Source organism: Homo sapiens, chromosome 21 (assembly GCF_000001405.40).
Source record: "Homo sapiens chromosome 21, GRCh38.p14 Primary Assembly".
Classification (NCBI taxonomy): Eukaryota; Metazoa; Chordata; class Mammalia; order Primates; family Hominidae; genus Homo; species Homo sapiens.
Window position 1 is genome coordinate 43116570 of NC_000021.9, and position 27645 is coordinate 43144214.

General features: G+C 46.7%; 2 long non-coding RNA genes across 6 annotated transcripts in view, besides 3 other annotated features; one reads left to right on the forward strand and one right to left on the reverse strand.

The window, feature by feature from the left end:
* LOC101928369 (uncharacterized) overlaps nt 1-27645 on the forward strand; it is a 43255-nt gene that overhangs the window by 8880 nt on the left and 6730 nt on the right. The window contains exons 3-5 of one of the 5 annotated variants that reach the window (XR_937768.3): nt 8555-8734; nt 16469-16548; nt 17822-18562. This is a non-coding gene — a long non-coding RNA (uncharacterized LOC101928369). Of the gene's footprint in view, nt 1-8554; nt 8735-16468; nt 16549-17821; nt 18729-27645 lie in introns of those variants that run through there. The other 4 variants (XR_937769.3, XR_007067884.1, XR_937770.3 and 1 more) reach the window with 4 other exon arrangements.
* Nucleotides 650-944: a silencer, noted in NCBI's record as "tiled region #15309; HepG2 Repressive non-DNase unmatched - State 12:CtcfO". NCBI's record gives its function as "represses a minimal TATA promoter and a strong SV40 promoter by Sharpr-MPRA in HepG2 and K562 cells {active_cell/tissue: HepG2 | K562}" and the evidence as "EXISTENCE:reporter gene assay evidence [ECO:0000049][PMID:27701403]".
* FRGCA (FOXM1-regulated, gastric cancer associated) lies at nt 23954-24523 on the reverse strand. The gene is made up of 2 exons (NR_133677.1): nt 24393-24523; nt 23954-24244 (listed from the first exon to the last, which is right to left on the reverse strand). It is a non-coding gene; the product is annotated as an FOXM1-regulated, gastric cancer associated (long non-coding RNA).
* Nucleotides 24916-25453: an enhancer, noted in NCBI's record as "H3K4me1 hESC enhancer chr21:44561595-44562132 (GRCh37/hg19 assembly coordinates)". NCBI's record gives its function as "activates a minimal SCP1, AML or CMV promoter by ChIP-STARR-seq in naive H9 embryonic stem cells {active_cell/tissue: H9 hESC(naive)}" and the evidence as "EXISTENCE:reporter gene assay evidence [ECO:0000049][PMID:30033119]".
* Nucleotides 25454-25989: an enhancer, noted in NCBI's record as "H3K4me1 hESC enhancer chr21:44562133-44562668 (GRCh37/hg19 assembly coordinates)". NCBI's record gives its function as "activates a minimal SCP1, AML or CMV promoter by ChIP-STARR-seq in naive H9 embryonic stem cells {active_cell/tissue: H9 hESC(naive)}" and the evidence as "EXISTENCE:reporter gene assay evidence [ECO:0000049][PMID:30033119]".

The following is a 27645-nucleotide window of genomic DNA, read 5'->3' on the forward strand; positions in this document are numbered from 1 at the left end:
GTCTCCCTCCCTGCACCCAAACTGCTAGAAACTGAAGATGGGGAAGACATTGGCTGAAGACACTGTCTTACAGTTTACATCACAGACCTTGCCTTCGGTGGAAATACTTTTCCTGGCAACCTCGTCTTCACTAGGTGTAGGGACCAGCCCCACAGGATCGGTGGGTTTTTCTCCCCATGTGCAGAGACGAGAGATTGTAGAAATAAAGACACAAGACAAAGAGATAAAAGGAAAGACAGGTGGGCCTGGGGGACCACTAACACCAAGATGCGGAGACCGGTAATGGCCCCGAATGTCTGGCTGCGTTGTTATTTATTGGATACAAAGCAAAAGGGGCAGGGTAAAGAGTGTGAATCATCTCCAGTGATAGGTAGGGTCACGTGGGTCACGTATCCACTGGACAGGGGGCCCTTCCCTGCCTGGCAGCCGAGGCAGAGAGGGGGAGAGAGAGAGACAGCTTGCGCCATTATTTCTGCATATCAGAGACTTTTAGTACTTTCACTAATTTGCTACTGCTATCTAGAAGGCAGAGCCAGGTGTACAGGATGGAACATCAAGGCGGACTAGGAGTGTGACCACTGAAGCACAGCGTCACAGGGAGATGGTATGCCTTCGGATAACTGAAGGTGGGCCTGAGGCCCTCCACAAGAGATGGAGGAGTAGAGTCTTCTCTGAACTCCCATGGGGAAAGGGAGACTCCCTTTCCCGGTCTGCTAAGTAGCCGGTGTTTTTCCTTGACACTGACGCTACTGCTAGACCATGGTCCGCTTGACAACAGGCGTCTTCCCAGACGCTGGCGTTACTGCTAGACCAAGGAGCCCTCTGGTGGCCCTGTCCGGGCATAACAGAAGGCTCGCATGCTTGTCTTCTGGTCACTTCTCACTATGTCCCCTCAGCTCCTGTGTCTGTATGGCCTGGTTTTTCCTAGGTTATGATTGTAGAGCGAGGATTATTGTAATATTGGAATAAAGAGTAATTGCTACAAACTAATGATTAATGATTTTCATATATAATCATGTCTATGATCTAGATCTAGTATAACTCTTGTTGTTTTATATATTTTATTATACTGGAAAAGCTCGTGCCCTCGGTCTCTTGCCTCGGCACGTAGGTGGTTTGCCGCCCACAACTAGGCTTTTACCTACACCCTTCTTCCTTGGTTTGAATTCAGCTCTGTGCTTTTGAGATGTGAATTTTTTCTACTTTGTTTCACCTCAGTCATCCCTTTAGAAGTGCCAATTTAGTGTTGCCTAGCTAACAGTTGCTTAGGGATCATGTAAAAGGGGGAAATAAAAACTATTTGAGAGCATAATCAGGTTAAGTATTAATGCTAAAACTTACTTTACAAGTTAGTTGGTCTTGCTAAGATTTCTCTTTGGTAGAAATGGGGAATTGGAGAGAAGATTCTTTATAAAAACTATAAGATCTGCTTCTGTCTGTATGTCTATATGTTTATATGTGTCATGTGTATGTGATATTTCACTACCAAAATATATGAAAAAGCTATAATTAATTGGCTTAAAGAAGGGACTGCTTGGCTGGGTGCAGTGGCTCACACCTGTAATCCCAGCACTTTGGGAGGCGAAGGTGGGTGGATCATGAGGTCAGGAGATCGAGATCATCCTGGCTAACATGGCGAAACCCCATCTCTACTAAAAATACAAAGAAAAATTAGCCAGGCGTGGTGGCAGGCGCCTGTAGTCCCAGCTACTCAGGAGACTGAGGCAGGAGAATGGCGTGAACCTGGGAGGCGGAGCTTGCAGTGAGCCAAGATCGCGCTACTGCACTCCAGCCTGGGTGACAGAGGGAGACTGAGTCTAAAAAAAAAAGCACAGTGATGCTAGGCCAGAGTCTGGGCCCCTGTGTCTGAACAGTAGGTTTTCTTGGAGTATTGGTGTGCTCTTTAATAGAAAATTGTAAGAGTTGGGCCGGGCATGGTTGTTCATCCTTGTAATTCTAGCACTTTGAGGCCATGAGATTGAGACCAGCCTGGGTAGGATAGTGAGACCCTATCACTGTTATTTTAAAAATTAGGAAAAAGAAAATTGTAAGAGTTTATAAAAGGTTTTTGGGAATCTTACTTTGTATGGTCAAAGCTGCCTGAGAATGGACGATTGATAATACACTAATATAAAAGTTAAATCTTGTTTTCTCTGTTGAATAAGAATTTCATGTTGTGTTAAGAAGAGATAGTAAGCTGGGTGTGGTGGCTTATGCCTGTAATCCCAGCACACTGGGAGGCCAAGGTGGGTGGATCACTTGAGGTCAGCAGTTCAAGACCAGCATGACCAACATGGTGAAACCCTGTCTCTACTAAAAATACAAAAATTAGCCAGGTGTGGTGGTATATGCCTGTAATCTCAGCTACTTGGGAGGCTGAGGCAGGAAAATCGCTTGAACTCGGGAGGTGGAGGTTGCAGTGAGCTGAAATTGTGCCACTGCACTCCAATCTGGGCAACAGAGCGAGACTCTATCTAAAAAAAAAAAAGTAAAAGATTTGTTTACCTTTTGAATAAACTGCAAAAAAAGGGGGCTGGGAGAATTTGCCTCATGCTATCTTTATTATGTCTCTTGATTGGGAACTGAGTCTCTGCTCTATTTTAGAGTAAAAGAGTTGCTCTTTGAAATCTTTATTTATTTTTTTTATTATACTTTAAGTTCTAGGGTACATGTGCACAATGTGCAGATTTGTTACATATGTATACATGTGCCATGTTGGTGTGCTGCACCCATTAACTCGTCATTTACATTAGGTATATCTCCTAATGCTATCCCTCCCCACTCCCCTCACCCCACAACAGGCCCCGGTGTGTGATGTTCCCCTTCCTGTGTCCAAGTGTTCTCATTGTTCAATTCCCCCCATGAGTGAGAACATGCGGTGTTTGGTTTTTTGTCCTTGCGATAGTTTGCTGAGAATGATGGTTTCCAGCTTCATCCATGTCCCTACAAAGGACATGAACTCATCCTTTTTTATGGCTGCATAGTATTCCATGGTATATATGTGCCACATTTTCTTAATCCAGTCTATCATTGATTGACATTTAGACACAAGTCTTTGCTATTGTGAATAGTGCCGCAATAAACATGCGTGTGCATGTGTCTTTATAGCAGCCTGATTTATAATCCTTTGGGTATATACCCAGTAATGAGATGGCTGGGTCAAATGGTATTTCTAGTTCTAGATCCTTGAGGAATCACCACACTGACTTCTACAATGGTTGAACTAGTTTACAGTTCCACCAACAGTGTAAAAGTGTTCCTATTTCTCCACATCCTCTCCAGCACCTGTTGTTTCCTGACTTTTTAATGATCGCCATTCTAACTGGTGTGAGATGGTATCTCATTATGGTTTTGATTTGCATTTCTCTGATGGCCAGTGATGATAAGCATTTTTTCATGTGTCTGTTGGCTGCATAAATGTCTTCTTTTGAGAAGTGTCTGTTCATATCCTTTGCCCACTTTTTGATGGGGTTGTTTGTTTTTTTCTTGTAAGTTTGTTTGAGTTCTTTGTAGATTCTGGATATTAGCCCTTTGTCAGATGAGTAGATTGCAAAAATTTTCTCCCATTCTGTAGGTTGCCTGTTCACTCTGATGGTAGTCTCTTTTGCTGTGCAGAAGCTCTTTAGTTTAATTAGATCCCATTTGTCAATTTTGGCTTTTGTTGCCATTGCTTTTGGTGTTTTAGACATGAAGTCCTTGCCCATGCCTATGTCCTGAATGGTATTGCCTAGGTTTTCTTCTAGGGTTTTTATGGTTTTAGGTCTAACATTTAAGTCTTTAATCCATCTCGAATTAATTTTTGTATAAGGTGTAAGGAAGGGATCCAGTTTCAGCTTTCTACATATGGCTAGCCAGTTTTCCCAGCACCATTTATTAAATAGGGAATCCTTTCCCCATTTCTTGTTTTTGTCAGGTTTGTCGAAGATCAGATGGTTGTAGATGTGTGGTATTGTTTCTGAGGGCTCTGTTCTATTCCATTTGTCTATATCTCTGTTTTGGTACCAGTACCATGCTGTTTTGGTTACTGTAGCCTTGTAGTATAGTTTGAAGTCAGGTAGTGTGATGCCTCCAGCTTTGTTCTTTTGGCTTAGGATTGTCTTGGCAATGTGGGTTCTTTTTTGGTTCCATATAAACTTTAAAGTAGTTTTTTCCAATTCTGTGAAGAAAGTCATTGGTAGCTTGATGGGGATGGCATTGAATCTATAAATTACCTTGGGCAGTATGGCCATTTTCACGATATTGATTCTTCCTATGCATGAGCATGGAATGTTCTTCCATTTGTTTGTGTCCTCTTTTATTTCTTTGAGCAGTGGTTTGTAGTTCTCCTTGAAGAGGTCCTTCACATCTCTTGTAAGTTGGATTCCTAGGTATTTTATTCTCTTTGAAGCAATTGTGAATGGGAGTTCACTCATGATTTGGCTCTCTGTCTGTTATTGGTGTACAAGAATGCTTGTGATTTTTGCACATTGATTTTGTATCCTGAGACTTTGCTGAAGTTGCTTATCAGCTTAAGGAGATTTTGGGCTGAGACAATGGGGTTTTCTAAATATACAATCATGCCATCTGCAAACAGGGACAATTTGACTTCCTCTTTTCCTAATTGAATACCCTTTATTTCCTTCTCCTGCCTAATTGCCTTGGCCAGAACTTCCAACACTACATTGAATAGGAGTGGTGAGAGAGGGCATCCCTGTCTTGTGCCGGTTTTCAAAGGGAATGCTTCCAGTTTTTGCCCATTCAGTATGGTATTGGCTGTGGGTTTGTCATAAATAGCTCTTATTATTTTGAGATATGTCCCATCAATACCTAATTTATTGAGAGTTTTTAGCATGAAGGGCTGTTGAATTTTGTCAAGGCCTTTTCTGCATCTATTGAGATAATCATGTGGTTTTCGTCTTTAGTTCTGTTTATATGCTGATTTAATATATAATGTTAAATCAATAAACATTATATGTTTATTGATTTGCGTATATTGAACCAGCCTTGCATCCCAGGGATGAAGCCCACTTAATCATGGTGGATAAGCTTTTTGATGTGCTGCTGGATTCGGTTTGGCAGTATTTTACTGAGGATTTTTGCATCAGTGTTCATCAGGGATATTAGTCTAAAATTCTCTTTTTTTGTTGTGTCTCTGCCAGCCTTTGGTATCAGGATGATGCTGGCCTCATAAAATGAGTTAGGGAGGACTCCCTCTTTTTCTGTTGATTGGAATAGTTTCAGAAGGAATGGTACCAGCTCCTCCTTGTACCTCTGGTAGCATTCAGCTGGGACTACAGGTGCCCACCACCACATCCGGCTAATTTTTGTATTTTTAGTAGAGACGGGGTTTCACCACGTTGGCCAGGCTGGCCTCAAACTCCTGACCTCAGGTGATCTACCAGCCTCGACCTCCCAAAGTGCTGGGATTACAGGTGTGAGCCACCATGCCAGGCCGTAAACCACTTTTCGAAAAGAATCAAAGTAAAACAGTAATTGTCTACGGATGACAAAAGACTTATAGTAGCCATAGTTAAAGATGCCTGTGACAAGGAAAATTGGTTATTTCTGTGGCATCTAACAATGTAACATCATAATCATAATTATGACTGATAACATATACCAGGACATATCAAAATTTTAGAAATCTCATATGATTTTGGAACAAATATTAATCACACATTTATACTTGTGTGATACACATATAACTCAAAGAAAGTTAAACGCTATTGTTTATTTGACAATGCTTCCTGTATGATTCTAACATACCGAGTAAGCCTACTATTTGGATTTCCAGGAGTTTCTATTTGTTATGTCCAGGTTATGTCCACATTAGTTCAGGTCAAAAAGACTTAATTTTAGAATTTGAAATTTGATTTTTGGCTGGGTACAGTGGCTCACACTGGTAATCCCAGCACATTGGGAAGCCAAGGAAGGCAGATCGCTTGAGCCCAGGAGTTCAAGATCAGCCTGGACAATATGATCAAGCCTCATCTCTAAAAAAAGAATTTAAAAATTAAGCTGAGTGTGGTGGCGTGCATCTGTAGTCTCAGCTGCTCTAGAGGCTGAGGTGGGAGTACTGCTTGAGCCCAGGAGGGAGAGGTTACAGTGAGCCATGACTGTGCCACTCCAGCCTGAGTAAAAGAGTGAGACCCTATCTCAAAAAACAAAAAAAAAATTGATTTTGGGAAGTATGTCAAATATCAAAGGTTTAAAACATTTGATATCAAAATATGGCCAGACACAGTGGCTCACGCCTATAATCACAGCACTTTGGGAGGCCGAGGTGGGTGGATCACCTGAGGTCATGAGTTCAAGACCAGCCTGACCAACGTGGCAAAACCCTATCTCTACTAAAAATACAAAAATTACCCAGGTGTGATGGTGCACACCTGTAATCCCAGCTAGTTGGGTGGCTGAGGTAGGAGAATCATTTGAATCCAGGAGGCGGAGGTTGTAGTGAGCTGAGATCACACCACTACACTCCAGACTGGGTGACAGAGCGAGATTCCATCTAAAAAAAAAAAAAAAGGAAAAAAGAAAACATTTGATATCAAAATAGGATCACAGGTCTGTGTAAAATAAGTCATTCATTTAGCCAGAATGGGAGAGAGCAGTGGTTCTCCCAGCACGGAGTTTGAGATCTGAGAACGGACAGACTGCCTCCTCAAGTGGGTCCCTGACCCCCAAGTAGCCTAACTGGGAGGCACCCTCCAGAAGGGGCAGACTGACACCTCACATGGCCGGGTACCCCTCTGAGACGAAGCTTCCAGAGGAACGATCAGGCAGCAACATTTGCTGTTCAGCAATATTCACTGTTCTGCAGCCTCTGCTGCTGATACCCAGGCAAACAGGGTCTGGAGTGGACCTCCAGCAAACTCCAACAGACTTGCAGCTGAGGGTCCTGACTGTTAGAAGGAAAACTAACAAACAGAAAGGACATCCACACCAAAACCCCATCTGTACATCACCATCATCAAAGACCAAAGGTAGATAAAACCACAAAGATGGGGAAAAAACAGAGCAGAAAAGCTGAAGATTCTAAAAATCAGAGCGCCTCTCCCCCTCCAAAGGAATGCAGCTCCTCACCAGCAATGGAACAAAGCTGGACAGCACTAAATACCCACAAGAGAAAGCAGGAAAGTTCTAAAATTGACACCCTAACATCACAACTAAAAGAACTAGAGAAGCAAGAGCAAACACATTTAAAAGCTAGCAGAAGACAAGAAATAACTAAGATCAGAGCAGAACTGAAGGAGATAGAGACACAAAAAACCCTTCAAAAAATCAATGAATCCAGGAGCTGGTTTTTTGAATAGATCAACAAAATTGATAGACCGCTAGCAAGACTAATAAAGAAGAAAAGAGAGAAGAATCAGATAGACGCAATAAAAGATGATAAAGGGGATATCACCACCAATCCCACAGAAATACAAACTACCATCAGAGAATACTATGAACACCTCTACACAATAAAACTAGAAAATCTAGAAGAAATAGATAAATTCCTGGACACATACACCCTCCCAAGACTACACCAGGAAGAAGTTGAATCCCTGAATAGACCAATAACAGGCTCTGAAATTGAGGCAATAATTAATAGTCTACCAACCAAAAAAAGTCCAGGACCAGATGGATTCACAGCTGTGGTCCCAGCTACTTGGGAGGCTGAGGCAGGAGAATCGCTTGAACCCTGGAGGTGGAGATTGCAGTGAGCTGAGATCACACTGCTGCACTCCAGCCTGGGAAACAGAGGGAGACTCTATCTCAAAAAAAAAAAAAAAAGAAAAGAAAAAAGAAAAGAAAAAAAGTGGTTTACAATCAGCTGCAGTCCAAAGTTTATCTTTTCTTCAAGGAAATTCATGGAAAGGACACTGAGAAGTACTCTTGAATACAGGTTTCTAATAAACTTAGAGATCATACCATTGGACTAGGTAAAAACTTCCACAACACTAATGAAAAACTGATGCATTCATGAAGATTTCTAATCCAGCATCAGGCATTACAATAATTAATTACACCGGACTGAAATTATTTTTATGACTTTTTTGTTGAAACATTGCTAACTCTTTTTGTTTTGTTTTCGAGAGTTAAGAAAACTTTTGTTTTTTTTTTTTTGAGATGGAGTTTCGCTCTTGTTGCCCAGGCTGTAGTGCAGTGGTGCAATCTCGGCTCACTGCAACCTCCGCCTCCCGGGTTCAAGCGATTCTTCTGCCTCAGCCTCCTGAATAGCTGGGATTATAGGTGTGCGCCACCATGCCTTTAGTAGAGACGGGGTTTCACCATGTTGGCCAGGCTGGTCTCGAACTCCTGACATCAAGTGATCCACCCTCCTTGGCCTCCCAAAGTGCTGGGATTACAGGCGTGAGCCACAGTACCTGGCCAAAAACTTTAAAAAAAAAAATCTGTTTAGAGCTTATAGCAATTGGGTAAAATATATTTTTGTGAGCAAAATTGAAGCATTTATCTTTCTACCTGATTTCTCCAGAATTCAGAAACTATGAATGAGTATTCTTATTTTATTGTAATATAATTATTTGCATAATTTTAGTAAAAAATTTTTTTCCTTTGTTAACAGAACACAATTGAAGGCACTGGTTATTCTAGCAAGGCTTTGACTGGAATGGCATATTTTCAGATATGACCAGACTGCTCTGAGGAATTCAGGTTGGCTTTATAGAGTCAATAAAAAGCTACCTGGAAAGAGTGGCCATGTACCTTATCTATACAGTTCCCTTACAAGGTTCCTGATCTTGAGGTAAGTAAATAATGTCCCTTTCTGACAGGCCCAGGAACCTCAAATATTTTGGGGCCTTGAGAAAAGAGGAACTCACCCAGTTCATGCAGGTGTTACAGGCACAATCTGAAGATGAATCTTTGGCTTTTTAAAGCCTCAGATTAAAAAGTCTAATCTGAAATTCTCTATGAAAATTCCTTCAAAGCCAACTTGAAAAGAACCTTTATGATCAGTCATTATTCTTGTTCCACTTTATGCAAATAATGAAGCTGAATATAATGCTAAAACTTATTTTACAAGTAACTTGGTCCCACTAAGATTTATCTTTGGTAGAAATGGGGAATCTGAGAGAGAAAAATTATGTTTCAGAAGAAAACGATTTTATACCTATTGATAGATTCCAGCCCTGATGATTGTTTCTGAGTTTTTGTTATTTTCCTGCAATCCTTAATTATTTCCTGGCTACAACAAGTCTTTAAAGAAGGTCTGGGTTTTAATTTTCTTTATGATGTTTTTAGTTCACTCATAAATTGAATTGTTTTCTTCTGTTCTGGCATACACATTTCTTTCTGATTATAATTCTTATGTGTATTATATTTCTACTATGTATCTCTCTCTCTCTCTTTTTTTTTTTTTTTTTGAGATGGAGTTTCACTCTTGTTGCCCAGGCTGGAGTGCAATGGCTTGATCTTAGCTCACTGCAATCTCTGCCTCCTGGGTTCAAGTGATTCTCCTGCCTCAGCCTCCAGAGTAGCTGGGATTACAGGTGCTTGCCACCATGCCCGGCTAATTTTTTGTATTTTTAGTAGAGACGGGGTTTCACCATGTTGGCCAGGCTGGTCTCAAACTCCTGACCTCAAGTGATCCACCTGCCTCAGCCTCCCAAAGTGCCGGGATTGCAGGCATGAGCCACCACGCCCAGCTGTATCTCTCATTGTTTTACTTCCCCTAAGAAAACCAAATTCATGGTATTCTGAAGACTAGAGATGATTCAACAGGCAACAGCAGTTATATAAATTGATGACTTGGCTGAGGTCTCATTTTTGCCACCCTGTGATGCCATCCCAATTTGGCTTTTGGCTTTCTTCAGATTCCTCACTGAGAGGTATCCTTCCCTGATATAATTTGGATATTTGTCCTCACCCAAATCTGATATTGAAATATAATCCCCAACATTGGAGGTGGGGCCTGGTGGAGGTGGTTGGCTCACGGTGGTGGATTTCTCACGAATGGCTTAGCACCCTCCCTTTGGTGCTGTCCTCGTGATAGTGAGTTCTCATGAGATCTGGTCTTTTAAAAGTGTGTGGCACCTCACCTGCCACTCTCTCCCTCTTTCTCTCTTGTTCCTGCTTTCCCTTTGTGACATGCCCACTCTCCCTTTACCTTTTGCCCTGATTGTCAGCTTCCTAAGGCCTTCCTAGAAGCTGAACAGATGCCAGCACCATACTTCCTGTAAAGCCTGCAGAACCATGTGCCAATTAAACCTCTTTTCTTATATATTACCCAATCTCAGGTATTTCTTATTTTTATTTATTTATTTATTTACTTATTTATTTATTTTCATGCAAGATAGGTTCTTACTCTGTCACCCAGGCTAGAGTACAGTGGCATGATCATGGCTCACGGCAGCCTTCTCCTCCCGAGGCTCAGGTGATTCTCCCACCTCAGCCTCCCGAGTGACTGAGACTACAGGCATGTACCACCATGCCTGGCTAATTTTTTTTGAATTTTTAGTAAAGGTGAGGTTTTGTCATGCTGCCCAGGCTGGTCTCAAACTCCTGGGCTCAAGCCATCTGCCCACCTCGGCCTCCCAAAGTGTTGTGATTACAGGCGCGAGCCAGTGCAGCCAGCTGGTTATTTCTCTATAGCAATGCAAGAATGGCTTAATACATCTCCCCTCCCCTACATGGGACAAGGCCATCTGATAATTAACCTTCCTAGCAACTCAGGACTAAGCTCCTGAACATAAAGGGAGCCAAAACAATTTGCATTTTTCTATGAGGCCTTCTTTGAAAGGTCTTGATGAAAAGGGGAGAAATGGGGAAAAAAATAGCACAGAGCAGTCTGAGCTATGTGAGGTGTGCCAAAGTTATCAGGCCCAGAGAGACAGGAGAGTGGGGCTTTTTGTTTTGTTTTTGTTTGAGACAACATAGTGAGAGCCTGTCTTTATAAAAAATTTTAAAAAATTATCCAAGCATAAGGGCATGTGCCTGTGGTCCCAGCTACTGAGGCAGGCTGAGGAGAGAGGATTGCTTGAATCTGGGAGGTTGAGGCTGCAGTAAGCTGTGATCACACCACTGCACTCCAGACTGGGTGACAGAGTGAGACCCTGTCTCAAAAAAAAAAAAAAAAAAAGAACCCACTGCTGCTAATTGGAGCATCTATTCAGGGGAACTTGAATCTAGGCTCCCAGGTGGCCATCCTTAAGCTTTGGGCTTGAATAAACTTTGTACTTAATCATATTTTCTAAATCTCATTATTTAAAGTCGAGAATTCATTCCTCCCTTCATCTGTTCATTCATATGTCTGTCCTTTCACCCACCAATCCGCTCATCTAGCCATCCACCCATTTGTCTGTTAGTCCGTCCATCCATCCATCCATCCATCCACTCACCCAGACATCCATCCATCCATCCATCTGTCCTTTCACCCACCCATTTATTCATCCATTCATCCATCCATCTATCCATCCCACTGAGTCATTCATCCATCTATCCATCCATCCATCTGTCCGTCCATCCATCTTATATTTTGGGGGGCATGTCTGATGTGTCAGATACTGTGGCAGGTGCACAGACACAAATTCGGAAGACAGATCTCCACTTAGAAGTGTGCCAGGCACCTCAGCTCAACATATCTCCAGCTGACTTCATTTTATCCTTCTCCTCCCATCTCTTGACGTTCTGTTCAAGCATTTAGTAAATGCCAGTCATCTATAGCCTGAGCCCACCTGGGTTGCCCTAAGTTGTCTGATTCACATCCATTCTAATTCCTTGGCTTCTCTCAACCATGTCTGCTCCTTTTCCTCCTCTTGGCCATTCCTGAGTGTACCTGGATCACTACAGCAGTATCTATGCTGTTTCCTCCTTTTCTAGGTGACCATTTGTCCTTCTGCCAGAGGGCTCTGTGGGAAATACAGATTCGATCCTGCTGTTTCTTACTGGGAACCCTCCATGGCTCCCAGTCCCTGGAATGTGCCGGGCAACTTTCAGCTCTTGGTCGTGGGAGCCTCCTGCCTGTGCACAGTGTGTTCTTCCAGGACCCATGCCCACTCCCTCCTTCCCAGCATTCCAGTTTGGCCCTTGAGGCCTCCTTGGAGTCATCCCCCTCCCAGATGTGCAATGCATTTTGGGTTCTCAACAGCTTCCCCTCCTTACCTGCAAAGGTTGAACAGACCTGGATCTGCTATCCTGCTTTGCCACTTCCTGCTGCATGACCTGCATTATGAAGTTCTCTAGACTCAGGGTTTCCATTGGCTAATAGGATCAGCCAACCTGCCTTTGAGGAGTGGACGAAGCTTGGCACTTAGTAGGTGCCCATGAGGCATCAGAAACTGCCCTTGTTGAATGATGCTCTAATGCGGTGTTGACATCTCTGTCCTACTAGACTGGGGTTGCTTTGAGGACTCCAATTCTGTCTTTTCATCCTGATTCCATGATGGAACAGACCCACAGGCCCTTGTCAGCATTCCAAAAAGCAAAAAGCTGTGAAAATGAAAAGGACTTTTTTTTTTTTTCTGTAAACTTGGTGCCAAAATTTGCAAAAGCTGACCTGACCCAAGGTGTTGGCAGCATCCCAACACTCCCTCTGTTACAGGCACCTCTGCTGGTTGCTGACAATGTATATGTTTTAATTTTTAAAATGCATTTGTCTTTTTGTGACCATGGGTTTAATTGCACTGTGAATTCATACAAAAAGGGTAGCATGTACCCAGTGCTCACTGTGGGAAGGACACATGGAAACACTCTCTTTGTCAATAGTGCAGAAAGCATCAGTGATGTTGGGAAGCCATCAAAAGACAAGCAGTTGGGCTGTGCGTGGTGGCTCATGCTTATAATCCTAGCACTTTGGGAGGCTGAGGTGGGAGGATTGCTTGAGGTCAAGAGTTCAAGACCAACCTGGCCAACATAGCAAGATCCCCTCTCTATTAAAAAAAAGACAAACAGTTGAAAATTTATAATAATTGTGATTACCAAGAGCCATTGAAATATGGAAAACACAGGGTCAGTGGGGTGTGGTGTAGGGAGAGAGATCTTGACCAGGAATGGATGGAACGGAATTGGCAATGAAGTAGTCACTGTATGCCAAGGAGTGGTTTGTTGGTTATGAAAGAAGCTGGAATACAGCAGGAAGAACTGAACTTTAAAGGTGAGCATGAATATTCAAGAAGTGTCATGGTGTAAAACAATCTGCATAGCTGTGGTGGAAAGGCTTCTTTCCTGATCAGGAAACAGCTGAAAATTACATTGATGGATTTGTATCCTCTGAAAACCTTAGTCTCAACCAGGCGCGGTGGCTCACGCCTGCGATCCCGGCACTTTGGGAGTCCAAGGCAAGTGGATTGCTTGAGCCCAGGAATTTGAGACCAGTCTGGCCAACGTGGCAAAACCCCATCTCTGCAAAAAATACAGAAATTAGCCAAGCATGGTGGTGCATGCCTGTAGTCCCAGCTACTCTGGAGGCTGAGGTAGGAGGATCACTGAGCCCAGGGAGGTTGAGGCTGCAGTGAGCCAAGATGGTGCCACTGCACTTCAGCCTGGGTGACAGAGAGAGACCCTGTCTGAAAGCCAAAAAACAACAAAACCTAAGTCAGAACAAGTTTGTGTAGCTGATGAGTCAGGCAGCTTCACCTGTGCTCCTTTCTAGACAGGCAGGATGGTTGCGGAGAGTCACAACAGGCGTCCAGGAGGAAAGGCACGAGATGATGCTGGCCAAAGCTAGTTGTGGTTGGAAAAAGCCACTGGTGTGAACGGTGTATGCTAGTATGCAAGGGAACATATACTGGGAACTCGAGCCATGTTTTCTGCATGGTTTAATAATCCTTTGTATCAGTGCCAGGAATTCACTGCAGATAAGCTGGTCTGGAAGAAAAACGAACATTTTGTTATTTCTGCACAGCTGCTCCACACATTCCTTTCCTGAAAGTCTTTTGAAAAGCAATGTTTCTGACATTTACTTTCCACGATTTGTGAAGGGAGTTTTACACTCCAATAAGAGTGAATATAAATGATTTTTTGGGGGGAAGGGGGAATCCTGCCATTAACAGAAAGCAGGGCTTCCTGACTAAGTTCACTCACAAGGCTGCCATTCACACAGTCACAAATGCTCGGACAGGATGGACAGTTCCACTAACGTGCGCTTGGTTGACTGTGTGAACCCCAACCATTTGAGACAGGCCTCAGTTAATTTAGAAAGTTTATTTTGCCAAGGTTGAGGACGTGTACCCGTGACATGGCCTCAGGAGGTCCTGACAACATGTGCCCAAGGTGGTCGGAGCACAGCTTGGTTTTAGACACTTTGGGGAGACCTGAGACATCAGTTAACACATGTAAGATGAACATTGGTTTGGTCCGGAAAGGTGGGACAACTCAAAGCAAAAGCGGAACTCAAAGCCGGAGGGGGCTTCCAGGTCATGGGTAGATAAGAGACAAGTGGTCGCATTCTTTTGAGCTTCTGATGAGCCCCTCCAAAGGAAGCAATCAGATATGCATTTATCTCAGTGAGCAGAGGGGTGACTTGCAGTAGAAAGGGAGGCAGGTTTGCTATAAGCAGCTCCCAGTTTGACTTTTCCCTTTAGCTTCGTGATTTTGGGGGCCCAAGAGATTTTCCTTTCACAACTGCACGAGCACTTTGACCTAAAACAATTCTTGAAACCGAACCTGGAGATAAAGCCCATCTATGGCAGAAGAAGGTGATAGCAAACCGCATTATTGACCCTCAAAGTTTATCAACCAAAAGTGGAGTCAGGAGAAAGTCACAGAGAAGAGATGCTGAACCTAGAAATGGGGCACCTATTGTGCCTGCCTCGCATGATGGAGAAATTGCTGGAATCGACTGAATACCAGTGACAATGGGAGGGGAAATGTCGGGGAGATGTGGACCCTGGGGAGTCCCCACAGACTATCTGGCAATATCTGTGGCCTGCTAACTGCTGGCTTCAAGGACATTTATCAGTGAGCAGGAGGACCCCTGAATTAGAGAGATGCTTAGGTGTGGCACTGGTGTTGTGGGAGGAAGTGCCGAGAAGCCCATTGACACGGTGCTGCCCCAGGACTTCAGAGACTCTTCAATCCATCCTCCATGCTGCCTCCAGCCCCATGACCTCAGCAATGTATCACTGCTGTGCTCCCTTTCCCAAGACCCCCAAGCAGCCAGATGTAGCCTGATTCATTACATGTATGCATACAGGTGTCAATCTAAAATAGTCAAAAGGGCCAGAATCTAGTTTAAGGAGAGTTTATTCAAGTGCAAGGTTTAAGTCCAGCCATCCAGGAAGCACAGATTCCAAAGAATGGAAGTCAGTGTTCTGAAGTATAGAAGTTTGGGACCATGTATATAGATAAAGTTTATGGAAGCTTACCAGAATTTCAACATCTTTAGGCTTTAATGCATAGTTACAATGGTCTGATTAGTCGAGGTGGTCTTTTTCTTTCAAGAAAGGTGTATTTGGCCAGGCATAGTGGCTCATGCCTGTAATCCTAGCACTTTGGGAGGCCAAGGTGGGCAGATCACCTGAGGGCAGGAGTTCAAGACCAGCATGGCTAACATGGTGAAACCCTGTCTCTACTAAAAATGCAAAAATTAGCTGGGCGTGGTGGCAGGCACCTATAACCCCAGCTACTCGGGAGGCTGAGGCAGGAGAATTGCTTGAACCCGGGAGGCGGAGGTTGCAGTGAGCCAAGATCACACCACTGCACTCCAGCCTGGACAACAGAGCCAGACTCTGTCTCAAAAAAAAAAAAAAAGAAGAAGAAGAAGAAGAAAGGTGTATTTAATCTTCCCCACTGAAGATGCAACCGTCATGAGGTCTTTGCGCCATCTGATCTGAGTTGGGTACAGGACAATAAAGGAGGCAGCTAATCTGTAACAGAGATCAGTGATGGGAAGGAGGAGATCTGGTCTCTGGGAGACTGAGGCAGGAGGATTACTTGAGCTCAGGAGTTCTTTTTTTTTGAGACGAGTCTCGCTCTGTCACCCTGGCTGGAGTGCAATGGCGCGATCTTGGCTCAATGCAACCTCCACTTCCCAGGTTCAAGTGATTCTCTTCCCTCAGCCTCCTGAGGAGCTGGGATTACAGGTACTTGCCACCACGCCTGCCTAATTTTTGTATTTTTAGTAGAGACGGGGTTTCACCATGTTGGTCAGGCTGGTCTTGACCTCCTGACCTCAAGTGATCCACCCGCCTCAGCCTCCCAAAGTGCTGGGATTACAGGTGTGAGCCACTGTGCCCAGTCGAGCTCAGGAGTTCCAATCCAGCCTGAACAACACAGCAAGACCCTGTCTCAAAAAGAAAGAAATATGACAATATGACTTTGCAGCGTTTCAGAACATCAATAACTTTGCAGTTCTTCATGTTTCTCCTAGTCATGTCCAGAACAAGGACCCTGGGGAAGAGAGTTAAGCTGTAATCTAAGAAGCAGAATTTGCAAATATGCTACTGACTCAGTCTCCAGGGCTTAACATCCCCTTTGACATAATAAATTTAGAGGGTCCTGAAATTTTATTTGCTTTTAAACGACTTTTTTTCTTTCACAGACATTTGGCTTCACTTGAACCTGTGTTTGAAGCTTTAGTGAACATTGTCTTTGGGAGTAAGAAGTACTAGAAAATTTATGGTATGTGGTTATCTTGCTATTTCATGAACTACTGTATTACTATATAAATCAGCTGGAAGCAAGCTGTAATCCTGTTTATGGGATATTTGTTCCACTTACCATGATGAATTTGGCTGCAGAAATATCAGTATATTTGCCTTTGGAGTCCTGCCTCAGACCCCTGATGAGGGCTATGCAATCTATAGTACTTGCTTTTATTTGTTTATTCTGCTGTAAATGGTTTGTTTGAATTTTTTTTTTTTTTTTTTTTTTTTTTTTGAGACGGAGTCTCGCTCCGTCGCCCAGGCCGGACTGCGGACTGCAGTGGCGCAATCTCGGCTCACTGCAAGCTCCGCTTCCCGGGTTCACGCCATTCTCCTGCCTCAGCCTCCCGAGTAGCTGGGACTACAGGCGCCCGCCACCGCGCCCGGCTAATTTTTTGTATTTTTAGTAGAGACGGGGTTTCACCTTGTTAGCCAGGATGGTCTCGATCTCCTGACCTCATGATCCACCCGCCTCGGCCTTCCTAAGTGCTGGGATTACAGGCGTGAGCCACCGCGCCCGGCCTGTTTGAATGTTTTGTTTGCGAAAATAGCCTTAATTTTCCCTTCACTGTTTCCATGCACCTTAGAAATAGGACTTCGTAGCCGGTTGTGGTCATACACACCTACGGTCCCAGCTACTTGCAAGGCTGAGGTGGGGGTGTGGCAGGCCAGGTCTCACTAACACAGGCCTCCATAACAACTGTTTCAGTACTGACCAAGTGGTAAAGTTAAATATTAAAAGCTGAAAGAGCCAGCGCCCTTATACAAAGGCTGGAATGTAACAAAAGCCCACCAAGAGTTTTGCCCAGGCCTTTCCTGGGCTTTAAAGCATGAAGAGATAACAAAGGAATTCTTAACAGGACCCATTTAGGATTAAACAAATTTTATTGGGGGTCTGAAGAAACTCCCCAGGCCTCCACAAACAGGCTTTACTGGAGACTAAAGGAACTCCCCAAACCTCCATGACTTAGCAGGAGGCCAGATCCGGGTTTTCACCCCAGCACCTGGACCCAGCTAGGTTAATTAAATTCACTGAGGCTCCGGAGGAAGGTCTTCTGGACTCAGATCTTAGTTATGGATTAGAAGTTAATCACTTATGTCTTTAGATGGATGCACACTCACACGTAGACACACAGCTGAGAAGGTATAGAAGCTCTGGAAAACGCTGTCATTTTAAGTTGGTCTGGTGATAATTTCCAGGCCTTCTCTCTGTAACTGGTTACAGAAATAAAAACTCCCTTCTCTCCTAGTTCATCTGCATCTTGTCACTGGGACATGAGCATAGGTGGTCTACCTTCAGTTTGGTCTGTGAACAGGAGGATTACTTGAGCTCAGGAGTTCTAGTCCAGCCTGGGCAACAGAGCAAGACCCTGTCTCAAAAAGAAAGAAAGAAATGAGGATATGAGTTTGCTGCTCTTTAAATCGATGACTTTGCAGCTCTTCATCTGAAGAGGTGGCGTCTGTTTCTCCTGTTTGAGTGTGGCACATCCAGGAGAGTGGCTTTGAGCAGTGGTGTGGCAGACGTGACTGTAGGCCAGCCCTGAGCTGAGGCTGCCAGGGGACTGCACACTTCTTCTCTCAGCTCTGCCAGCTGCTGCACTGTGTCTGGGCCAGCCCGCTGGAGCACAGAGTTCAGTGCATTGGGACAGCTACAGCCCATTGCATCGGGACAGCCCACAGCAACAAGACCCACCTGTCGCCACTGCAGGTGCGTGAGGGTGCCCGGCTGAGAGCAGACAAACCGCCTAGCAGGTGGCTTTTCAAGCGGAATCACAGACTAGCTCCATCGCTGTGGTGAACGTTCTCCCCAGTGCCAGGATTCCACTTGGCCCCTGACTGCTTGAGCAGCCGATGTGACAGCCATCTCTCTGCTGCCGTGCATGTCGGCTGGGCTGGAGCCAGTGCATCAGGAAGTAGACGCAGAAGTGGATCAGGAGCAAAACATTCCTGAGAGCTGGCAGAAGCTGGCGTCTGGAGCCGCTGGGATGCGGGTATGGGCTCTCTCAGTGGCGGAGGAACAGCCTCCTGGCAGAACCAAAGGTTGCTTTGTGCCTTCGATGCTGCTGCTGGCCAGAGTGGTTTTCTGTCTCAGACCCTGTACCACGTGTCTGTTCTTTCTCATTTTTTACTTAAAGGAGAAGAAAATGATTATGTGTACATGCTGGTGGCACACATAACTTAGTATTAAGTATTACAAAGTCTTACAGGCAGGGCACAGTGGCTCACGCCTATAATCCCAGTATTTTGGGAGGCTGAGGTGGGCAGATCACCTGAGGTCAGCAATTTGAGACCAGTCTGGCCAACACAGTGAAACCCCATCTCTACTAAAAATACAAAAATTAGCCAGGTATGGTGGCACACACCTGTAATTCCAGCCACTCAGGAGGCTGAGGCAGGAGAATCATTTGAACCCGGGAGGCTGAGGTTGCAGTGAGCTGAGATCACACCACTGCACTCCAGCCTGAGTGACGGAGTGAGACTCTGTTTCAAAAAAAGAAAAAAAAGTCTGAAAAGTCTTACAGACCCAAGGAAGAATTTGTCTTCCTCTGTGAGAGGGGAGATGTGCTCTGATGATATAGGAGAAAACCCCAAAATCAGTATCAGCCCACCAACCAGGGCAGTGAAGCCGCACCCAGATGCACCACACATGGCAGTCCATGAACAGCCGGGCTTTTGTAAAGGCCGGTGCTTTATGGAATGACGCTCTGCCGGGCCCGGGTTCTGGGGCTTCCAGTCACTCAGTCTTTTGTTTACTCATCCATTGCGTATTTCTTGAGCACCTCCTATGAACCAGATGCTGCTTGAGGAACTGGGGTTACCAGGGCAAATGAGACCAGGCCCCTGCCCTCGGGGGCCCCAGGTTCAGGGGGAGAGAGAAGACAAAAAAAAGGAAAAGAAGTGAGCTAATTTCAGATAGTGCTTAGAGCTGTGGAGAGAATGCGTGGCACTCGGAGGCCCTGAGCAGCCCAGATGGTGAAGCAGCTGTGGTTGTGGTGTTGAGAGTGTGACCCTGAAAAGATGTAGAGTTGAGAGTGAGTGAAGGCCCGGGGTCGGCAGGGGCGGGGTGGCGGCTGGAGCATGAGCTCTATGTGGAGGAGCAGTGAGCAGACCACTGTGCCCGGAACTTGGTGGGGGTCCAGGGCCAGGTGAGGCTGGCAGAGTTTGGGGAGGGGCTCCTGGCCCAAATCAGGTGGGCTGTGGCATGGAGCATGATGTCATCCTAAAACCATCCTAAGGACACTTCAGACGGTCACTTTCTCAATCTGGGCCTTGGTTTGTTGATCTGTGGAATGGGAGTTGCACTAGTTGATTCCTGGGGTCCCTTCTGAAACCCCCAACTTTGTGAGTCCATGACATGAAACATAACCCCCCTGCCATGGTCTGCAGAAAGCTGTAAACTCTCCCTCCCCAGGGAGACAGACGCTCGTCTCCCTGGCTGCCCAAAGCGCAGGGAGTCTCATGTTCTGATGGCTCTTTCTTTCTCTCTTTCTTTCTTTTTCTTTTCTTTTTTTTTTTTTTAAGATGGAGTCTCACTCTGTCATCCAGGCTGGAGTACAATGGCGAGATCTCAGCTCACTGCAACCTCCGCCTCCTGGGTTCAAGCAATTCTCCTGTCTCAACCTCTTGAGTAGCTGGGATTACAGGCATGCACCACCACGCCCAGCTAATTTTTGTGTTTTTAGTAGAGACACGGTTTCACCATATTGGTCAGGCTGGTCTCGAACTCCTGACCTCAGGTGATCCGCCCCCCTCAGCCTCCCAAAGTGCTGGGATTACAGGCGTAGCCACTATGCCCGGCTTGGCTCTCACTTTCGTGTTCTTTCCATGTAATCACACATGAATGGTTGTCACAAGATCTCACAGGGAAATAATTTAGCAAGTGAATCTCAGTTTTAAAAAGGAAGGTGTTTGTGTTTTATCAGCATCTGTAATTGATCAGACCATATAGTTAAACCCCTAAGAAGACTTAAGGTCTTATCTCCCTCAGCTGAGACTTCTGTGACAAATGCCACAGATACACAGATTAAACAACAGAAATTGATTTCTCACAGTTCTGGAGCCTGGAAATTCAAGATCAAGCTGCTGGTCAGTGCTGTTCCTAGTGAGGTCTCTCTTCCTGGTTTGCAGACAGCTGCCTTCTCATTGTATCCTCAGACGGTGAGGAGAGAGAGAGAGTGAGCAAGCTCTCTTCTCTCTTCTTATAAAGGCACTAACCTCATTATAGGGCCCCATCCTCATAACCTTATTACCTCCGAGTCCTCACCTCCTAACACCATAGGAGGTTAGGGTTTCAACATTTTAATTTTGATAAATATTCAGTTCATAACAGGTCTGCACCTGGGGTCCATATAGGTCAGTTTTATTTCCAGCAGAATAATGGTGATCTGTACCACCATTACACCTGCCTGTATGCAGGCAACCCATATTCATGGCTTTCCATAAATGGCTTTATTCTTTCCGAAAATGGCATTTTTATTTCGCTTACTGTGTGTGTGATTAATACCTTCTCATGGTTCAAAATAAAAATAACCAAAAAGTCCCCTGCTGGCTCTGTGCTCAGCCTCCTACAACCTCACCAGGAGCAGCCAGTGTGACCAGTTTCATGCGGGCCCTAGAGATATTTTATGTAGTTACAAGCAATTGCATATGTATTTCCTGTTTTGGCATAAATGTTAGCACACCATACATACGTTGTTCTCCATGTTATTTTTATGTAATAAGTTGGAGATATTTCCATATCTCTAGAAGGAAGGAGATACGAAAACAAAGAATTTCTTTTTGTGTGTGTGCCACAATAGCAAAGAAATTTCTTCATTTTTTAATGGTAAAATACACGTAACATAAAATTCACCATTTTAACCATTTTACTAATAAGTGTACAGTTCAGTGATATTAAGTACATTTGCATTGTTGTGCAACCATCACTACCACCAACCTCCAGAACTCTTTTTTGTCTTGCAAAATCAAAACTCTGTCCCCGTTAAACACTAACTGCCTGTTCTCCTTCCCTCAGCCCCTGACACCTACCATTCTATTGTCCGTCTCTATGCATATGACTCCTCTAAGAAACTCAAACAAGTGCAATCATTTGTTCTTTTGTGACTGTCTTTTTTTTTTTTTTTTGAGACAGAATCTTGTTCTATCGCCTAGGCTGGAGTGCAGTGGTGCGATCTCAGCTCATTGCAACTTGCACTCCTGGGCTCAAGTGATTCTCCTGCCTCAGCCTCCCGAGTAGCTGGGATTACAGGTGTGTGCCACCACTCCCAGCAATTTTTTTTTGTTTGTATTTTTAATAGAAACAGGGTTTCACCATGTTGGTCAGGCTGGTCCCAAACTCGGATTACAGGCGTGAGCCACTGCGCCCGGCCTGTGACTGCTTTGTTTTACTGAGCATATTGTCTTCAAGGTTCATCCATGTGGTAGCATGTGTCAAAACGCCTTCCTTTCTAAAGGTGAATAATATTTCACTGCATGTACAGACCACATTGTGTTTATCTGTTGACCTGTTGGTGGACGCCTGGGTTGTTTCCACCTCTTGGCTGTTGTGAATGACGCTGCTGTGAACATGAATGTGCAGATTTCCTCATTTTTCAACCACTGCAGGCTGTTCCACGCAGCAGAGGCTGGTACACCTACTCTCTACGGTGCACATTTAGGGAGTGTCCGTTTTTCACTAACACCAACAGCTGCAACAGTAATCTTGTGCACAGGTGACTGCACATGTGCGACTCTGTATTTGCAGCATACAGTTCTAGAGGTGGCATGGCTGCATCAAATGGAACGTGCGTTTGTAATTTGGTTACCCCATGTCTCTAAGGCATTTTAGTTTGGCAGCTGTTAGAAGCTGGTTTCGGATCAAATCTTGCAAGTGGCGGGAGGGTTGTGGGTGTCTTTATCAGGCTAGAGTCATGGAAAGAATGTGCCCCTTTCAGACCTTGACCTCCGTTGGGGTTACATCTTTAAAGGCACCGTCTTTCCACTTTGGAAATGGAAGTGTCCCACTTGCTGTGCTGACGGACACTAGAGGGCGGAGTTCCCCATCTTTCAGGCAATGTGAAGGCTCAGTCCACTTCTCCACTTCTGCAACTACAGAGGTGATTATTTGGGACCACTGGATTGGGGGGAGAAAGTCAGTGTCTCCCAAGGGGTACGGCACAGGACAGAGAACCAGTATTGGAGCTCAGACAGGCTCGGGGGACTGGGAGATGGAAGCCATCGCCTTTACCTTGGGCATTTCATCTTAGGTCCCATGGAAACAGGGGCCATGGGTTGGTACTTATCATTTCTTTTAAACAGATAATGGCATACAGTAAGTCCTCAATTTCATCACAGCTTCCTGGAAACTGTGACTTTAAGCAAGACAACATATAATGAAACCAATTTTACCATAGGCTAGTTGATATAAACAAGAGTTAAATTCCTATGTCATAGGCTGGGTGCGGTGGCTCACACCAGTAATCCCAGCACTTTGGAAGGCCAAAGCGGGCAGATCACCTGAGGTTGGGAGTTCAAGACCAGCCTGACCAACATGGAGAAATACTAAAAATACAAAAGTAGCTGGGTGTGGTGGTGCATGCCTGTAATCCCAGCTACTCGGGAGGCTGAGGCAGGAGAATCGCTTGAACCTGGGAGGTGGAGGTTGCAGTGAGCCGAGATCACGCCACCGCACTCCAGCCTGGGCAATAAGTGTGAAACTCTGTCTCAAAAAAAAAAAAGAGGCATATTTCTGCTCTCAAAACATCACCAGAACAGGTGTGGTGGCTCACACCTGTAATCCCAGCACTTCGGGAGGCTGAGGTGGCAGATCTCTTGAGGCAAGGAGTTCAAAACCAGCCTGGGCGACATGATGAAACCCCATCTCTACAAAAAATGCCCCCCAAATTAGCCAGGAAAGGTGGTGTGTGCCTGTGGTCCCAGCTACTTAGGAGGCTGAGGTGGGAGGATTGCTTGAGCCTCAGAGGCTAAGGTTGCGGTGAGCTGTGATCACACCACCACACTCCAGCCTGGGCGACGGAACAAAACCCTATTTCCAAAAAAACCCCACAAAAAAACAAAAAACACCACCAAATTTCTAAAGACCCAAACACTTCTAATATTAAACATTGAAATAAATGTAAACTATCCCTACATGTAGAGGTAGCTACACCTACATAAGGAAGATTAATACAAACAAGTGAGATCATGATCTACCCAATATTTGGGATGTCTGTGAGTGACGGCGGTGGTAGTGGTGGTGGTGAAATCACGGAATCAATGTCTGCAAAGCACACGCTCTTGGGAGCACCTCCTCCCACCGCACAGCTGAAAGACAAGCGACCGTGAGTATGGCGGCTCCTTGAGCACCCTCACACGCGGCGTTTGTTGTCATGCGTTTGTGTGATTACCGTAGGCTTTATAATTTTTATTTGATAATTTATATTCATGTATTCATTCATTTTCCAACTTGCTTTCTCCAGTTCAGAGTGGCAGGTGACCAGGGCCCATCCTGGAGGCTCAGTGCCAAGGTGGGCACCCGCCCTGGATAGGACAGGCCTCCATGGGACACCCACACTCACTCGGACTAGGCCCATGTAGACATGCCGTGAGGCTGAGGTGTATACTTGGGATGTGGGAGGAAACTGGAGGACCTGGAGAAAACCCGCGCGGACCTGGGGAGACCTCCTCAATGCTCCCTAGAATGAAACGATGGGATTTGAGGACCTGCTGTATTTATTTGTCCCAATCCAGCGGCCCTGGCCTTCAGTGCACAGTAGTCCCTGCTGCTGGGCACACATCCCCTCATGCTCAGTCCATTGACCAGGACTGGGCACATGGCCTCACCTAGCTGCGGGCAGTGGCTTCTGCCCTGGGGCAGGCAGCTGCTCCAGGTCTGGAGATGAGCCCCACCTCCAGGTGCAGCTGCTCCAGGTGTGGAAACGGGGCTCTACCTCGTGGGGAGCGTCCGCTGCGGGCCACAACCTTGCTGGGAGGCTGCGGGAGATGGGGGGTAAGAGGGGTGATGTTGAGGCTTTCCCTCCTCGGCAGTGACCGGCGCAGCCCTCCCCAGTGTAGCTCCCCCCTCCCCACCCCTCCCTCCATCTGGAACACAGCACGGGGGCTGCCCTCCAGCCCTCAGTGTGCAGGGCTTGCACACCTTGGCTTGCAGGGCATTTGGGGGATCCCAGTGGGGCAACTGCCAGCTGGAGAGATGCTGGTGCCCAGCCGTGCTGCTCCTGGGGGCAGGCTGGGTAGGGGCTGAGGGGCCGGAGTGAGCGGTCCACAGTCATCCAGGAACAACAGGGCTCTCACCTGGCAGGGCTCCCAGGCACGTTGATGGAGGGAGGGTTTCCTCAGTCCTCTCCCCCAGCCCTTACTGGGCAGTACCCCCACCCACCATACTGTCTCTTGCCTGGGTCTCAGGTGGTTGGCGCTGTCTGGCCCCTGCCTCTCCCTCTGTCCCTTCAGCTGAAGCGGGCTCCACGCCATCCCAGGACTTCCCGCGCGGTCTGAAGCACAGCCACATCCGGTCTGACCGTCCCTCACCCCTCCCTCACCCCTCCCTCGCCCCCCCTCGCCCCTCCCTCGCCCCTCCCTCGCCCCCCCTCGCCACCCCAGGAGGAAATAGAGGCTGAGTGTCCGTGCCCTGCAGCCGAGCAGCCACCCTTGCCTTTGGCCCCACCTTCGCCTGCCTGGCGGCCGTCCTGTCACCTGTCATTCAGCCCTTGCTGTCTGCTGGGCACGTGCCCTGCAGGTGGGGTGCACGGCAGGCCCATGAGTGCCCACCATGCCTCGCCATTCAGGAAGCCACCCAGGTGCTCCGGGCGGTGTCAGGGCAGGGTGCGTCTGTGCGGCGTTTGCATGTGTCCACCGTCCTGACCGGGGGCAGGGCCACGTCCCACACATCTTTCTGCCTAACTTATGATGTGGCAAAGACACATCCCGATACCTCTCCCGGGTGGGCCTGTGAGCTGGGCTCTGTGACGCCAAGGCCCAGGACCTGCTCAGCCCTGGGAAGATGGAACTGGAGGGGACCTTGAGATGGCTGGCCCAGCCCCTTGTCTTATAGACAGGGAGACAGCAGAAAGGGAGATGGAGTCACCGGCCAGGACCCCAGCTATGAGTGGGAGCTGGACCAGGAGTTGAGTGTCCTGAGCCACCTCCTCCCTGTGCTGGGTCCACTCTCAGAAACACTCCAGGTCTGGAGGCAGACCTGGAGGCAGGGCAGGGCAGGGCAGGGAGGGCAGAATGGCTATGATGTGGTGAGGCTGTGTCCCCACCCAAATCTCACCTCGAATTGTAATCCCCAGGTGTTGAAGGAGGGAGGCGATTGGATCATGAGGCGGTTTCCTCCATGCTGTTCTCATGATAGCTAGTGAGTTCTCATGGGATCTGATGGTTTTATAAGGGGCTCTTCCCCCTTCGCTTGCTCTTGCTCTCTCTCTCCTGCCACCATGTGAAGAAGGTGCCTGCTTCCCCTTCAGCCATGACTGTAAGTTTCCTGAGGCCTCCCCAGCCATGCAGAACTCTGAGTCAATGAAAACTCTTTCCTTTAGAAATCACCCAGTCTCAAGTAAGTTTTTTTTTTTTTTTTTCAGACAGAGTCTTGCTCTGTCACCCAGGCTGGAGTGCAGTGGCACCATCTCGGCTCACTGCAACCTGCGCCTCCTGGGTTCAAGCGATTCTCGTGCCTCAGTCTCCCGAGTAGCTGGGATTACAGGTGCCTGCCACCACTGCCAGCTAATTTTTGTATTTTTGGTAGAGATGGGGTTTCACCATGTTGGCCATGATGGTCTCGAACTCCTGACATCAGGTGATCCACCCACCTCGGCCTCCCAAAGTGCTGGGATTACAGGCGTGAGCCACCGCACCCAGCCAGAAGTTCTTTATAGCAGTGGGAAAATGGACGAATCCAGGCTTGCATCAGTGTTCCGGGGCAGCCCAACAAAGTACCACAAAATGAGGGGCTTAAACCATAGACATGTGCTCTGTCGTGGCTCTGGAGGCCAGAAGTCTGAACTCCAGGTGTGGGTGGAGCCGCGCCCCCTCTGAGATTCTAGGAGAGTTCCCTTCCTCGCTTCTGCCAGCTGCTGGTGGGTGCCGGAAGCCTTGGAACTCTGATCTGTGGCAGCCTCACTCCTACCTCTGCCTCCGTGTTTACACGACCTCTCTGTGTGTGTGCGTCCAAATTTCTCTCTTCTTACAGGGTCGCCAGTCATTAGATGAGGGCCCACCTTCTCCAGTGTGACCTCATCTTAGCCTCATTACATCTGCAAAGACCCCACTTCCAAATAAGATCACATCCGTAGGTTTTGAGGTTAGGACTTGAAGACATCGCTTTGGGGGACACAGTTCCACCCAATGCAGGTCCTTGGTGAGCCAGGTAGAATGAGCTGGTGGTGTGGGCAGTGGCTTGAGAGAGCCGCTATGCCAGTAGCTTTGTGGAAGTTTCGGGGCCGTGGTTTCTCTGAGACCGTTTACATAGGTTCTCAGTAGGGGCTGGAAGAGGCTGTGGGCGTTTGTGTCAGGGTGACTGGGTGGAGGTGGCCGGTCTGCATGCCGGTTCATCAAGGGGAGGATGTCCCATGGATCAGGGGCCAGAATGGAGCCAGCTGCCTCCCTCCGGCTCCCAGAGCCACCCCAGGCCATGCACAACTTTGAGCCCTCAGAGGTCCAGTTCCTCGGTCGGTCTTTCCTCAGCTTCCTCCTCTGTAGGCCATGGAGCTGACCATCCTGCCTCTGGCAGCTGTGGTGCTGTTTAGGGGAACGGTCATTGCCTTCATCTCCATTTTATAGTTGGGGAAACTGAGGCTCAGAGGAACGAAAACTCTGGGTAGGAGCACAGAAAGAGCAGAGCATGGGCGGTGGACAAAGAGTCGCCGTCCCTGACAGTCTCGCGGTCGGACCTTGGTCACGTGTGGTCTGGGGCTCTCGCCTCCTCCCAGCTCTGAGGTTCTCTGCATGAACTCCAAGGAAACAGCCTGTTCTGGGATGGCAGGAGCTGGTGGACTTCCAAGTTAGAAACACAAAGATGCCATGAGCTTAGGGTTCTGGAAGGCCCTGGGGTGTCCGCTAGGTGTAAGGTGCTGGTGGCCCT